The following is a 16,153-nucleotide window of genomic DNA, read 5'->3' as shown; positions in this document are numbered from 1 at the left end:
GGAGTTAGTTTTAGGGAGGGACTATTATTATCCTTGCTTTCAAGTGGAACTATAATTCCTCCTGAAGTTAGCTTGGCCTACACCCAGAAATGACCAAAGAGAGCTTGGAGGTCAGAAGCAAGATGGAGTCAACAATGTTAGATTTCTCTTACTGTCACAATTTTGCAACAGTGGTTTCACACCAAGCAATTCTCCAGTGCACACCAACAGTGCCCCATAATTCAATTTAATTCTGACACTAACTAAAGTTAGCACAGATGCTGCAGGTTGAGGTATTTGCCTCACAAGATGGCCCTTATTTCCAATGCCAATTGCAAGTCCCAGGTCATTTCACCAGTGCTTCCAACCTTCTGGCTATTAATGCGGGGTTCTCATGGCCCTCCTTGTGTTAGATTACTTGCTAGAATGGCTCACAGAACTCAGGGAAACACTTTACTTATGTTCACTCACGCATGATAAAAGGATGTAAATGAATAGCCATTTGGAAGAGATGCACCGGGAGAGGCGCGTGGGAAGGGGTGCAGGGCTTCCACACTCTCTGTGGGCACCACTCCAGGGACCTCCATGTACTCACCAACCAGAAGCTCTCTGAACTCTGTCCTTTTGGGATTTTATGGAGGCTATCATGTAGGCATGATTTGTTAAATCACTGTCCACTGGTGATCAACTTGACCTTCAGCCTTCTCCCCTCCCTAGAGGTTGGGGATGGGACCACAAGTTCCAACCCTCTATGCACATGGCTGGTTCCTCTGGTGACCTGCTCCATCCTGAGGCTGTCCAGGCGTCCCCAGCCCCCAGTCATCTCATTAGCACACAAAAGATGTTGTCACTCCACAGATTCCAAGGCTTTAGGAGCTGTATGTCTGGGAAATGGGAAAAGGACCAAATGTACATCACAAGATCATGCCATACAACCCAGAAATTATGCTCCAAGAGATTACCCAAATGAGTTCAAAACCACACAAAAATGTGCACACAAATGTTTATAGCAGCTTTATTCATAATTGCCAAACTTGGAAGCAACCAGATGACCTTTCATGGGTGAATGGATAAGGAAACTGGTTCACCCAGACAATGGAATACTAGCCAGTGACAAAACAAAATGCGCTGCCAAGCCCAGAAAAGACATGAAGGAACTGTAGCTGTGTTTGCTAAGTAAAAGGAGCCAATCTGAAATGGTTGCACACTGTGATTCCAACCATATGATATTTTGGGAAAAGCAAAACTATGGAGACAGTAAGAGAGGAGTGGTTGCCAGGGGTGAGGGAGGAGGGAGGGGTGAATTGGGAGCACAGATGAGTTTAAAGCACTGAGGCGGCTGCAATGCTAGAGTGGTGGACACAGCCGTGACATATCCATCCAACACACAGAGTGGGTGTAGTGCAGACCATGGAGTTTGGGTGACAGTAATGTCTCAGTGTAGCTTCACCTATTGTAACAAATGGGTCACACTCATGCAAGCTGTCATTTGTTTATTATTATTGTTTTAGAGACAGGGTCTCACTCTGTCACCCAGGCTGGAGTGCAGTGGTGTGATCTTAGCTCACTGCAGCCTCGACCTCCTGGGCTCAAGCAATCAACCTCCCAAGTAGCTGGGAGTACAGGCATGCACCACGCCAGCTAATTTTTTTTTTTTTTTGTAGAGATGGGGTCTCACTTTGTTGCCCAGGCTGGTCTCAAACTGCTGGCCTCCAGTCATCCTCCCACCTCAGCCTCCCAAAGTGTTGGGATTATAGGTGTGAGCCACCAAGCCCAGCCTGCAAGCTCTTAGGGAAAACTGTGGTGGTGGGGAGGGAACACATGGGGACACTGTACTTACTGCTCAATTTTTCTGTTACCAAACTAAAGGAAGAAACTGAGGCAAAACTAATGTGATTTATTTGCACTGAGCTGAGGATGACTTTCCCCAACGTATGCCCAGCTTGCCTTGGGGAGTGCCCCCTGGGCCCTTTGTTGCAAGCAGGTTTTCAAAGGCAAAAAGGGGGTTCAGGGACTGGCCTGACACCAAGTTGTTCATCAGGAATTCTTACCAGGAGCAAGTGTGTCAGTGACAGGACGGTGGCCAGGCCCGCCTTTCCCCTCGTGATGGTCATCGTCCTTGAAATACCAGGAGGCAGCAGGACCCCCCAGGGTCCAGGTTCAGTCTTTGGAGATGCAGTCCGAGGGTCTGTCTGCAGAGCCTCCATTCATGCAGACCAACATGGAACAGGACTCACGGGGGCACACGTCTCCGCCTTGCCATCAACCAGATACATGTGTGAATTCCCACCTGGCCCTGAGTCACACCCAGTTTAGTGCTTTCACGGGAGGAACACCTGCCGTCCTCACAGCAGGGATCTCCAAGGATGGCCCAAATATCGGCTTCCCAGTGATACTGCTCGTTCCTGCTTGGAAACTCCTTTTCCACGGTGGTGAGATATTGAACTTGACTCATGGAATAGAAGCTCCCCGGGATGCCACCACCTTGTGAAATAGCAGCTCCTCAAATTACCTTGTTATGCTTCTAATGCCAGGGTCCAAAGAAGCCCTCTGTTGCCACCAGATACATTTTGAACCCAGTTCATTTAGAAACCATGGTTGGTGGTCATCATCTACTTGTGTTCTGAGAAACCACAAAGTTCAACTTCAGCTCTTCAGTTATGGTCTTTTCATATTATTTTAGAATGTGAAATTTATGCTGTGTGTCCCTCCTTTTATGTCATGAACACAGCCTGCTCCGTATGGTGCCTAACGCTCCTGTGACCCCTGGGCTTTCCTCGTGTTTAACGTTCTGGTTTTCTCCTTCCTTGAGGTCCCTGTGGCCTCTTCAAGGTCCTGCCTTCCTCCCATTTATTCTTTGTGGTTCTGTACAGACTGATGCATTTATTTTGCCTTTCCCAACTAAGTATTCCTCACTCTGTTCTTGATGGAGGGGAGAAGGAGGGCAAAGAAGTTAAATTTACTTCAGGGCATCAAAATGAATGTCTACTTAATAACTTTGTAAAATGTAAAGTGATACATATAATTGTAAAGTAGTGTTAATTTTACCTAATAATTACAGTTAAAAAATATATCATTGGTTTACAGAAGTAACACTGCTTAGTGATGAGCTACACATTGTTGAGCTGTGGGCATGGGTTATGGAGTCCAGCATGCAGCATTGTGGGCTTCATTTGCGCTGTTCCAAGGGATGAACCCACAGCTCAAGGGGGAGTGGGAAGTGGCTGCGGTCTTGTTTTTTTTTTTTTTTTTTTTTTGAAACGGAGTCTTGTTCTGTTGCCCAGTCTGGAGTGCAGTGGCACGATCTCAGCTCACTGCAACCTTCACCTCCTGGGTTCAAGCAGTTCTCCTGCCTCACCCTCCCAAGGGACTACAGGTGCCTGCCACTATGCCCGGCTAATTTTTGTATTTTTAGTAGAGACGGGGTTTCACCATATTAGTCAGGCTGGTCTTCAACTCCTGACCTTGTGATCTGCCCGCCTTGGCCTCCCAAAGTGCTGGGATTACAGGCATGAGCCACTGTGTGCAGCCAGTGGTCTCGTTTTAATGTCTCCCAGGGCCTGATATTTTTAAAGGGCTCAAATTCCTCAGATAAGAAAAGCATATTGAAGCAAAGACTGCTTCTGAGTAAGAACAACAGAAGCAACCCCAGCACCTGGAATATTGGGGTTCTAAAAAGCGACTTCTTACATGAACTTTTAGATTTTATTATTTTATTGTCTATGGTTGGTAGCATTTAATGATTCACCTGAACGTGACTTTGAAACATACGCTATGGCACAAAAACGAATTCCAATTCCAATTAATGATGGGAAGAGAATGTGTGGCCTGGGAAGACCTGGAGTCTGCTTTGGAGTTATGTCCTCACCTCTAACCCTCATGGCATACATTTGTGTAACTTTTGCAAGCTTGGAAGAACACGCATGCCTGATATCCACACCCCACCCGCTGGAACCTGTGGATTGCTTGCTTACACCGCACCAGGGACTCTGCATAGGGAACTCGGTGATGAATCTTGAGATGGGAGATGCTCCTGATGACCTGGTGGGGCCCAGGTAACCTGCAGGGTCCTCCTAAGGACGGAAAGGCTTGAGGCAGAGACTGGACACTGCTGTGCTGTGGCTGTGAGGATGGGTTAAGGGGCAGGAACCAAGGGAGACAGAGATGGACCCCCCAGTGCCTCCCGACAGAGCCTAGAGGGCAACGCTGCCATTTCAGAACTGTAAAACGACAGATTTGTGTTGTTTTAAGTCAATAATAACAACAACAACAAAGTCAGGCTAATTCTTTCTTTCATTCAATAAACACTGAATATGGACCATGTGCCCACGATGCTGGGAGTGAGGACACGGCTGTGGAGGACATTGCCGGGCACCTGCACTTGGGCAATGCAGCTCACAGCTGCACCGAGACTCACAGAGCCTCCTGCTGAAACAGCAGAGGCCTTCGCGGGCAGGGGCCAGGGGCGGGTGGGTGGAGAGAGCAGCAGGCGCTGGCCGGGCCCTGGGATGGCCGGGTAGCAGGGAGCAGGCAGACCCTCCCTAAGAAACCCAGCACCCCGCTGTCCTCCCGGCTGCCGGCGCCCCCGCGCGCTGGCCCCCCGCCCACCATCGGGCGCCCTGCTGGTCACCGGGCCTCTGCGGCCGCCTCAGCGCATGAGGGTTCCGTGAAGAGGGGTCGCGTGCCCCTCAGCCGGCATTCCCGGGGCTCGGGACCCCGGACCTCCCAGAGGAATCACTCTCCTATGCCAGAGCCTGGCCTCAAGGGAGACGCTGGCGTGAATCTACCCCGGCCCGCCTTGGAGGGGATGGGGCTCCGAGCCTGGTCTGGGCTGTCCAACTGGGCATAAGCGTCACAGCCACTGCCAGGGGAGGGAGAACCTGGCCAGAGGCCCCGCCGTGGGCTGTGGAGCCAGCCCCTCCGCAGCCCTGTCCATGTGGGGCAGGCCTGGTGGCCCACACAGCCGGTGCTGGAGCCTCGCGAGGAGGGGGTCGGGGGACAACCGCATCTGTCCCAGTTCCCGTGAGGGCAAGACGGGGCGCTGTCCAGGAAGAAACCCTGTGGAGGGAGGGGAGCGCACCTCAACGTTTCTTCCTTCCACTCTTGCAGGAAAATCTGGGGGAAACGTTATTAAGGCAGAAAGAGTGACCCTGTTCCTTTTTTTGGTAACTCCATTCACTCCACTTCAACCATAAGAATCCCAAGCAGGAAACTTACCAAGCATCACAAACCACCTCGAAAAGCAACACCACACAACCTACATGCTGGACCGCTGAGGGGACATACACCCGGCCACTGAGCGGACGCACGCAGGGCCCCTGAGTGACGTGGGGACGCACGCGGGGGCGCTGAGGGACGTGGGGTTGCTGAGGGATGCACGCAGGGCCGCTGAGGGGCGTACGCGGGACTCGAGTGACGTGAGCACGCACGTAGGACCTGTTAGTGACGTGGGGACGCACGACGGGGCACTGAGGGGACGCACGCGGGGACGCTGGGGGACGTGGGGGCGCCGAGGGACTTGGAGGGCGCCGAGGGACGTGGGGGCGCTGAGGGACGTTGGGGGTGCTGAGGGGACGCCCGCAGGGGCCGCTGAGGGACGTGGGAGTGTTGAGGTAACGCAGGCGGGGGACGCTGAGGGGACTCATGCGGCGGGTGCTGAAGGACGTGGGGCGCTGAGGGGATGCATGCGCGGGGCAGTGAGGGACATGGGGACGCTGAGGCAGCGCACGCGGGCCACCATCGGCCAAGGATGAGACCATTAGAACATCTGCAATGGGTTGAAACGCCTCGAATGCAGTAAGATCCAGGAGTTATAACGATACTAAAAATAGCAACAATGACCCAAGTCACCTTTGGACATGCTAAAAACCAGCGGTACCTCAGGATGACCAAATAGTTGATGAGAAAAAATCCCTCTTCAGAAAAGTATTACAGCTCACAGGTGAAGAAAGGAGACACAGAATCGGAGCATCTTCCCTCCGAAGCCCCACAATGGAATCACCGGTGCAGGGAGATGGCCAGGCCTGCGGCACCCGAGAGAGGCCGTCTGACCCGGGTCCTCTGTGCAGGCAGAGCCCCCTCCGGTGTTGTGTTCCCGCCAAAACTGGCCGCGAATCGCAGATGATGATGCCGGGATCCGCGCCCTTGCAGGAGAGACGGGGGTGTGGGGAGGATGCCGGCAGCTCAGGGCACAGTCCAGACCTGGGGACACCACGGGACAAAAGACAAGTCACGAGAGGAAGAAGCGGAGAGAACCAAGGATTTTTTCCTGGTTGGAAAAAACAGAGTCTTAAAAATCCTGTGGGATGCCAGGGAGTCCTGGGCGCTGATATCTGGTGGCATTAAGGAGTCACCATCAATTATTTTAGGCATAAATACAGAACTGGGGTTGGGTGGGGTGTTTGGTTCTTATCTTTGAGAATACTTTCTGAAGTGTTTATGGATAAAATAATATGATGTCTGGAACTGTTTTAAAATAGCCCAGTGAGGAAGCGGGTGGGGTGCTGGCCTTGGCAGGAACACGGGGCCATTGTGCTGGTCTCTCGCGTTGTGTTGGAACTCACTATAAACAGCACCAGCGAGGGACGGCAGCCTGCCCTGTGCCTGCCCTGAGGTCACTCTCACTGTGAACTCGGCTCCCTCCAGCCCAGCTCTCACAGGGTCACAGGTGGTGGCTTCAGCCAATGTCCTGTGCAGGCTTCTTCCTGAAGGAACACAGAGTCCTGAGAGTGGGATTTCCTGTGGTGATTCTTCGGTCTCAGAGTCCCGAGGGACACGCGTGTTTGAGAATCTTCTCCATGTCCATCTGGATGATCTTCGCCTTCATTCTCCTCTCCTATTAAATGGAGGCCATCAGCACACTTAGACACGCCTGCCAGCTTTAAGAGTTTAGAGCTAAACAAATGAAGCACACAGTGCACTTCAAAGACTTCGAGAGGAAGGCTCAGTGTGCACAGAGGCCCCAGGAACCCTGAGCTTCCCCAGGATGCCCATCCTGAGCCCTCGGGGGCCATCTAACCCACTCAAACTCCAAACACTAGTCTCTCCCCCATCACAAGGAAAGACAGGCATGGTCCCCCACCCATCAGCGGTGTTGCTGAATCTGGCAGCCACTGTGTTTGTCAGACCTGCCTGCCTTGTTCAGCAGGGAAACCACTTGCTATGATGAATGGAGCTGCATGTGAAACTTAGATAAGCAGGCAGGTCGAAAACACCTCCTGTGCCAGCATTCCAGTTTTCTTGCTTGGCCCAAGAACCTGGTTTCATTTTGGAAGGTGGAGGGAGTGTGTGGCGACCTTGTTGCCATTTTCAGGCATGGCTGGGCTCTCACACAGTCACTCTTAGAACAGACATGTCCCTGCCTGGAGGCCAGGCCCTCTTGGGTTGTGGGAACCAAGCCCAAAAATGTCAAACAAGTGGCAAAACCTTTAGGGTAATTTTCCTCTAACTCAAAAAACACCTGGCCGCTTCTCCTCCCCAGATGTTAAAGGTCCTTTTATTAGCATTGTCCTATTGTGTTTTTTTCATTTCTCAGACACAGACACAGGAAGCATCAACTCTGAGGCTTTGGCCAGGATGTGAGCCCGACTTTCGCAGCCCCAACTGGCAGGCTGACCTCATGTGAACTCCCTGGCGATGGCATCCTGGAGACACCCACATGGCTGAGCTGGCACCATAGGGTGAGGGCACCAGGGCCATGGGGACCGTGGTTGCTTGCCTCAGACATGGCCAGCAAGGGAGGCACAACATGGGGCTGTTGAGTGAATGTGTGAGAGGCTGTGGGTCCCCACAGTCCAGCCACCAGCGGCCTCGCAGCATCATAGGAGTCTGAGGTCCAAGACACCGGACTCACATCTCAACCCTGCCCTGTGCTGCTCAGGGCCAAGTCTAAGCTGCTGTGACAAAGAGGCCCCCACATGCAGCAGCTGCCACAGAACACGGTCATCTGTTTTTCATGCACGCTGTAGCCCTGGTCATTCCAGCCAGAGCCTCCAGGTTTTGTTGCTCTTCCAGGGCACGTTCTGGGCTGTGTGATGGAGGCTGGACTGTGGGCTCCTCTGAGGAGGTAGAGGGATGCGCACCAGGGCCCCCGTGTTGAGGCTCGGCTCCCACCCCATCACCTCTACTCTAGTGAGGCCACTTCCTGCGAAGGTAGCTGGATGCTCCTGCCTGGAGCTGCCCCCGGACCACAGAGCATCCAGGAGATGAATGCACTTCCAGCCCCGCCACCCTGGGGAGATATACAGCTGAGGTGGCAGCTTTGGAGCAAGCAGGGCAGAGATGCTTCCCCCTGAGGTCCCTCCCAGCTCTGCTACCTTGTCACTCAAGGTATGGGTTGGTTGTGTTCCCCAAAAATACATGTTAAAATCTGAGTCTTCAGCACCTCAGAATATGACATCATTTGGAAATAAGGTCATTGCAGATCTAATTACCATAGTGACCCCTTATCCTGGGGAAAATGTTCCAAGGCCCTGGTGGATGTCTGAAACCTCAGATAGTACCTAACCCTATATACACTGTGTTTTTTCCCATGTGTACAGAAATACGATAAAGTTTAATTTATAAATGAGGCACAATAATAGATTAATAACAATGATAAAATAGAACAGTTATAACAATATACTGTAATAAAAGTTATGTGAATGTGGTCTCTCGCTCTCAACATATCTTACTATACTGTATTTTCCCTTCTTCTTGTGATGATGTAAAGTGCTGTAAAATGCCACGTGGTGAGATGAAGGGAGGTGAGAGATGCAGGCATTGTGATGTAGATGGAAAATTCCAGAAATAGAAAATTCCTCAGTGTTCAGTTATATTCTGTTCCGAGCCATCCCATCCAAGCCTGGGTTGCCATTGGCCACTTGGCAGTCATCCTAGTGACCAGATGGGCTGTGGTGTCACAGTGCTTGTGTTCAGGTCACCCTTCTTTTACTTAATAATGCCCCCAAAGCACAAGTGTAGCCATGTAATATTTGTGGAGCGTGGTTGACCGTGAGTGACTAAAACCCAGAAAAGTGAGATGGAAGACAACGAGGACCACTGTAGTTAGGATGAAGTCGTGACTGTGTCCTTATAAGAAGAAGGGTGACACAGGAGCCCATGTGGTGGTGGAGGCAGAGATGGAAGCTGTGAATCCACAAACCCGGGAGCATCTGGAGCTTCGGAGGCTGAGGAGGCAGGGAGGACCCTCCCAGCTGTTGGGGGAGCACAGCCTTGCTGGCACCTTGATTTTGGACTTCAGGCCTCCAGAGCTGAGAGAAGATACATTTCTGTGGTTTTGAGCTCCCCGGTTTGTGGTACTTTTCCAACTGCCCCAGGACACTGCTGCGCCAATGCCCTTGACCTTCAAGGTTGCATTCTGGCTGATGGAGCTGATGGGCACCCCGGCTTCACTGCCCTTGGGCTCCCACTCTGACTGGCCTGTGCTGAAAGGTTAAAAATAGCTCTGCATATATTAAAATAGCTATGTCAATTCTAAAGGCTCACACAGCTGCTCTAAGTGTCTTGGATACTCTTCAAAATAATATTTATAGGCCTCTTCAGGCTCTGTCGAACCAGCTTTTTTAACATTAATTAAAGCCAAGCTCATTAGTTTGTTTACAAGTTGGACTTGGCACACTTTAGCACTTAACAGGAGATGAAAACTGCAGTTTGTTCAATTTTCTTTTAATAATTTTGTTTACATTTTTGCCAGCACTCATAATCCAGGTTCAGTTTCTGCCAGCACTAATTTGGTTTATTCCACATGGCTGGAGCCACTGCGGGACTCCATTTGTTCCGGGGCCACCTTCCTGTCACCTTTTACTGTTTCTTGAGTCAGCAAGAAAGGCAGATCCGACTGAAGACTCCAGCACTCTCCTCAGCTGCAGCCCCCACAGAGCTCCGCGAAGTCCTTTCTCCCACAGGACAGATCTGAGGCACCCACCATTAGAAGAAAGGAGTGGAGAAATGATATGCAGGAAGAAGGCCCATTCTGATTCACCAATCGCATGGACGCACTTTCCTACCAGGCTAGGAGGGAGGAAAGTAGAGCCCCACCCTGACTGCTAAGCCGTTTGCTTTGGTGTCATGAAAAAAGAGTTCAGCTTCCCAAATCAGAGAGGAAAAGGTTTTCAAGGGGTCCCCTATTTCTATTATGTAAGCTTTAAATGACAAAGTGGACCTCTGGGGCCAACGTGGGTGTGTGATGGTGGTTTTGTGGGATTCTCCCCATAGCCCCATCAGACGGCCTCACCTTCTGGGTCTCAGTGGCCCCAGGTGCAACACGGCTCCTCCAGAAATGATGACAGCCCTGGCGACCAAGGACTCCCTGTGCCACTGGGTTTGCGCTCAGAAGTATATTCAATGATTTCCCCAGAAAATTCCAAGTCATCTCCTAATACTGTTTGTGAAAACTAAATGAACTGTCGTGGTCTTCTTCAGGGACAGTTTGCTAGGAAGGGTGGTTATTGGCATAATTTTCCAAATCAATGAACTAAGTTACAAAACTTTCTCAAAGACCCTGATGGCTGTTACAAAGACAGAAAAGTGAATGGTCAGAAAGAAGTGTGATAATTCACCCAGTATTGGGAGGACGAGGTGGGCGGATCACGAGGTCAGGACATCGAGACCATCCTGGCTAACACAGTGAAACCCCGTCTCTACTAAAAAAATACAAAAAATTAGCCGGGCGTGGTGGTGGGCGCCTGTAGTCCCAGCTTCTCGGGAGGCTGAGGCAGGAGAATGGCGTGAAACCTGGGAGGTGGAGCTTGCAGTGAGCCAAGATCACGCCACTGCACTCCAGCCTGGGCGACGGAGCAAGACTCCGTCTCATAAAAACAGCCTAAGACAACCACACAGCACACAGGCCTTCATCCTTGGCTGTGACGGATGCGTGTCCGTGTGGAGGGCCAGGCCTGTTTCTCCCGTCACTAATGGAAGCCTCTCTGAGTTTCCATGAAAGTCTCCCCCTCAGAAGGGGCTCTCTGGAAATTTTCAATTATGTTGGTTAGGATAGTAATACATGCTTTTGCTTAAAAATCAATGGGTGCAGAAACAAAAGTATAAAGTACAAAGTGGGTTTCCCCTCCTCAGCCAGAGGCAATGATGTTAGCAGGTCAACCCCGATACCGCCGCTCATTGCTTGAGGAGCCTGTGTCTTTCCTTATGTACGGGGGTCATGCCACGGCCACCCCTCCACACGAGAGCGGGGGCATTGACTAAGGCCAGAGCCAGGCACTGGAAAGGCGCAGTGGCCCCTCTACCTCACAATGGTATTGCTAGGACCCACGTGCATTTGGGGCCCCACATCAAAGCTCCCCAAGCAACCCCCTTGAAATGACTTTGCTTATAGCTCACCTCCAGGAAGGGCCCTTCCCTAGAGAACAGAAGGACACAATATCCCTCAGGCTCTGGGAAAGCAGCCGTTATCCTGGAAACCAGGACTCCTAGGAGATTCTGTGCCTCCCCCATGTGGGCCGTCTTGATCCCCACACAGACTCCAGGTTCAGGTGCTCCTCGAGGCTGGGCATCCCTCCACCAGGTGGTCCTGGTACGGCCCCTCTGTCCTCCGCTCTGGGTCTTGTCTGATGAGCTCATGCCCGTTCACCACAGGCTCCTGGGAGGAGGACGGTGAGGCGGGCAGCCCTCCTGAGCCCCTTCCTCCTTGCAGAGCACTTTCCGGGGCCTGATGCAGTGGAAGGAGCTGAGCAGTTCCCCATCCAGCCCAAAACAGGACACCTCAGGGCTCGAAACCCTCAGAGTCCCCACCCACACGCTACCCACACAAGGCCGATGCCTGAGTGTGAAACACAGAACACCTCCTCCATCTCCACCTGACTTCACTGACTTCCCTGAGCATTAAAAAATAAAAACTAAAAATAAATGAAACCCTGAAGGGTTTCAAAGCAGGAGAGAGGCCATGTCCAGACTGAAGGAGGCACATTCTTGATGAGTCCCTGGTCCAGCAAAACTCCCACCTCAGATCAGCCCAATGCTTTTGTGTCGAATGCCACACATGTCATGGTGTCTGTTTGTTTGACTGGTTTTGCCCAGTCTGGAAGGCTTGGAGTCACAAAGTTAAGGTCATGAGGCATGACTGTGACAATTAAGGCTGTCCCCATGACAGGATGTGAATCTGGACTTCAGGGTACGGGTCCGTCCCTCTGAGAGTGAAGGGAAACGTCCTGCCCACACCACAATGGCACCTACATGACACCTAGTGACACCCACACGGCAGTGACACTGACACTGCAGCGACACCGATGTGGCAACGACACCCACATCTCAGTGATACCCACGCTGCAGTGACACCCACACAGCAGCAACACCCACATGGTAGTGACACCCATGCAGCAGTGACACCCACACCACAGTGACACCCACACCACAGGGACACCCACACCACAGTGACACCCACACCTCAGTGACACCCACGCAGCAGCGACACCCACACCACGGTGACACCCACACCACAGGGACACCCACGCCTCAGTGACACCCACGCCTCAGTGACACCCACGCAGCAGCGACACCCACACCACAGGGACACCCACACCACAGGGACACCCACACCACAGGGACACCCACATGGTAGTGACACCCATGCAGCAGTGACACCCACACCACAGTGACACCCACATCACAGGGACACCCACACCACAGCGACACCCACACCTCAGCGACACCCACACCTCAGTGACACCCCCACCACAGGGACACCCACACCTCAGCGACACCCACACCTCAGCGACACCCACACCACAGCGACACCCACACCTCAGCGACACCCACACCTCAGCGACACCCACACAGCAGCGACACCCACACCTCAGCGACACCCACACCACGGCGACACCCACACCTCAGTGACACCCACGCCTCAGTGACACCCATGCAGCAGCGACACCCACACCACAGGGACACCCACACCACAAGGACACCCACACCACAGGGACATCCATGCTGCAGCAACACCCACACCTCAGTGATACCCACACCACAGTGACACCCACACCCCTTTTCTTCTGCAGCCCTGAAGTCACTCCCAGGCCCCAGGCTGAGGACTGGCCTCAGGGCGTCATCAGAAGCTGCAGAGGCATGACAGTACTGTTTCCTCAGCAGCTTCATGGAAAGATCCAGCCAAGCCATCTGGGGCTGAGCTTTGCTGCGTCTTCCTGCTCCTGGCCAGTGTACGGGCTTCCTGTCCTTGAAAGCAACACCTCACTTCCGACGTCCCAAGAGCTGAACTTCTAGGTGTCAGGAACCAAGTGCCTCAAGGCTCTGGGCACTCTAGATTTCAGGTGGAGCTGGCTGGTTTCCCACCCCAAGGAGAGGGCACACGGTTGCTTGGGTGTTGCTGTGGCCCTGGCTCCCGGTGTCCTGCTGGAGGAGCCTTGCTCGGGTGCCCCTGATGCAGCCCTGGCAGCGGCAGCAGGGCCAGCCACATGGCCACCTCCCATCTCTGTGAAAGGGAGGCCTCACTGGACCAGAATTTTGCCAGACCTTCCAGTTGCTTCCGACCAACCAGCAGGTCCTGCAGCGTGATGCACATTTGCTGTTCTGGGTGACAACCCCCAATCCCATGACCGGGTCAGACAGGAGGGACCGTGCTTCTCTGGAGAGCGAGCTCAGACCATGTTACAGACACAGAGAAGTAGAAAATGTGATGAAGCGGCTAATTATGTTGCTCAAATAGACGTGGAAATCCCGCATCGTGGTGCCCCTCGGGGCAGGCGGCTCTGTTACCCTCGCTCAGCTACCCACAGGTGATGCTAGCTGGGCCCAGTGTGGCCTTTGCCTCCCCCTGAGCTTGGCAACCCCGGGCTGCCTCCTGGGACGGGGCTGTCTCTCCCTTGGGGATCAGGCAGCTGTTGCTGGTCTCAGACGACACCTGCTTGGGCCCAGCCCCACTGTGAGGGTGGCAAGTGGAGCTGGAATTCCCACCCAGGCGGCTGACGCCACAGTCCAGAGCCCATGCCTCATCTCCGTGGCCTGCGCTGCTCCATTCTTGTCTAAAATGGGGAGTGAGATAAATGCCCCACTTACCTCCCCTTCCCAGGAAACTCTCTCTGCTAGGCTTCCTGGGTAAAGCGGGGCCTCAGGTTCCCACACGGCCCGGTGTGGGTGCTGCCCCAGGAAAGAACTCCTTTACCGAAAACTACCAGACAGACCCTCACCCCGACCCCCTCCCGCCCATCACCATCAACACACACACTCTCGACCTCCTTGCTCTCGACAGGCAAGGCCGTGAGCGGTGAGGAGCTGTGTGATGGGAAACAGGGAACCTCCAGGCCAATGCACTCCATCCACCTGGAGGGCTTATCATACACCTGGAGGGCCCCTCACACCTGCAGGGCCCGTCACACACCTGGAGGGCCCACCACTCACCTGGAGGGCCCCTCACACACCTGCAAGGCCCATCACACACCTGGAGGGCCCCTCACACACCTGGAGGGCCCCTCACACCTGCAGGGCCCGTCACACACCTGGAGGGCCCACCACTCACCTGGAGGGCCTGTCACATACCTGGAGGGCCCGTCACACACCTGCAGGGCCCATCACACACCTGCAGGGCCCGTCACACAACTGGAGGGCCCCTCACACACCTGCAAGGCCCATCACACACCCGGAGGATCCGTCAGATGCCTGGAGGTGAGCCAATGACTGCCCGCTCATGGCCTGGAGAGAGCTCTGACATCACTCAGAGGAGAAGCCAGGCAGAGCCCGATGACCCCTCGAGTGGGGGCAGAGCCAGGTGACCAGGAGGCTGAGGCAGCAGGGCACGGGGAGGGGCATGAGAGAAGAGAGAGGCTCACGGAAAAAGGACTTTGGAGATTTGCAGAAGATCCTCTCTAGTTTCCAGCTAAATCACCACACCCTTGAGAAGAAACGACCCAAGGCCAGAGAAAGAACCATCTGGGCCGGGTGCAGTGGCTCATGCCTGTAATCCTAGCACTTTGGGAGGCCGAGGCGGGTGGATTGCCTGAGCTCAGGAGTTCGAGACCAGCCTGGGCAACACAGTGAAACCCCGTCTCTACTAAAATACAAAAAGTTAGCCAGGCATGGCGGCATGTGCCTGTAATCCCAGCTACTCAGGAGGCCGAGGCAGAAGAATTCCTAGAACCCGGGAGGCAGAGGTTGCAGTGAGTCGAGATCGGGCCACTGCACTCCAGCCTGGGTGACAGAGCAAGAGTCTCTAAAAAAAAAAAGAACCACCTGAAAGGAGTAGAGGGACCAATCCCGCAGCTCTCACAGGTCCGGAATAGTTCCCGTTTCCATCCCTCAGCGTGGAAAATCTCATTATCCACAGGACATTAGGGTGAGCGCTCACAAAGGCTTTGCCTGGAGTGGCAGCTTTTGCCCTGACTCCCTGCGGCTCTGGTTTTGCCCTAACAATGCCTAAAAGCAAGACTTTAGAGATAAAAAATAAATTGTCTGAGATGAAGGATATACTGGATAGAATTAACAGCAGATATGACATTGCAAAAGAATAGGGAACTTGAAGGCATAGTAATAGAAGCTAACTGAAATCAAACCCACGCAGAGGGGGAAAGACTAAACAATGAAAACAGAATAGCCTTAGTGAGCTCTGGGAAAACTCCAAGCAGCCATCTGTATGTATACCTGGAGTTCCCTAAATAAGGAGAGCATCTTGGGGACAGAAAACAATATTTGAGGAAATAATACCCCAAAATTTTCCAAATATAAAAATTAGAAACCCACAAATCCAAGAATCTCAATGAACCCCAAGCACAAGAAACCTGAGAGAAACTACAGGGTACAATGTGATAAAGTTTCTTGAAATTAGTGATAAAGAGAAAATCTTAAAAGCAGCCAGAGGAAAAAGACATTATGTACAGATGAACAAAGAAAAGAATGATTGCCGATTTCCTGTTGGAGACAATATATGCTAAAATACGGGAGGGCAATGTCTTTGAAATTAAAAGGCACAGGGGAAACTGTCCATCTAGAATTCTATTTGCAGTAAAAAAGATCCTTCAAAAAAATGACTTTTAAAGACATACAAAAACTGAAAGAATGTGTCACCAACATACATACGCTCAAGAACATTTTAAAGGTTTTTACTGAGGCAGACAAAAAAAAAAAAAAAAGATACCAGATTGAGTCTGCATCTACTCAAAGAAATAGCAGTGCTGGAAATGATAAAGATATGAGTAAATATTTTTTTCTCATC

At 52.4% G+C, this 16,153-nt stretch overlaps 1 long non-coding RNA gene across 1 annotated transcript, besides 2 other annotated features; it reads left to right on the top strand.

Annotated features, from left to right (window-relative positions):
• Positions 1-5,519: 5,519 nt before the first annotated feature.
• LINC00454 (long intergenic non-protein coding RNA 454) lies at positions 5,520-10,378 on the top strand. Its single transcript, NR_047035.1, has 3 exons — positions 5,520-5,591; positions 7,514-7,658; positions 9,674-10,378. It is a non-coding gene; the product is annotated as a long intergenic non-protein coding RNA 454 (long non-coding RNA).
• Positions 13,952-14,498: an enhancer, noted in NCBI's record as "H3K27ac-H3K4me1 hESC enhancer chr13:114577481-114578027 (GRCh37/hg19 assembly coordinates)". NCBI's record gives its function as "activates a minimal SCP1, AML or CMV promoter by ChIP-STARR-seq in naive H9 embryonic stem cells {active_cell/tissue: H9 hESC(naive)}" and the evidence as "EXISTENCE:reporter gene assay evidence [ECO:0000049][PMID:30033119]".
• Positions 14,499-15,046: an enhancer, noted in NCBI's record as "H3K27ac-H3K4me1 hESC enhancer chr13:114576933-114577480 (GRCh37/hg19 assembly coordinates)". NCBI's record gives its function as "activates a minimal SCP1, AML or CMV promoter by ChIP-STARR-seq in naive H9 embryonic stem cells {active_cell/tissue: H9 hESC(naive)}" and the evidence as "EXISTENCE:reporter gene assay evidence [ECO:0000049][PMID:30033119]".

This window comes from Homo sapiens, chromosome 13, assembly GCF_000001405.40.
Source record: "Homo sapiens chromosome 13, GRCh38.p14 Primary Assembly".
NCBI lineage: Eukaryota > Metazoa > Chordata > Mammalia > Primates > Hominidae > Homo > Homo sapiens.
Note: the sequence above shows the minus strand (reverse complement) of the source record. Positions and strands in the feature narration are given on the sequence as shown.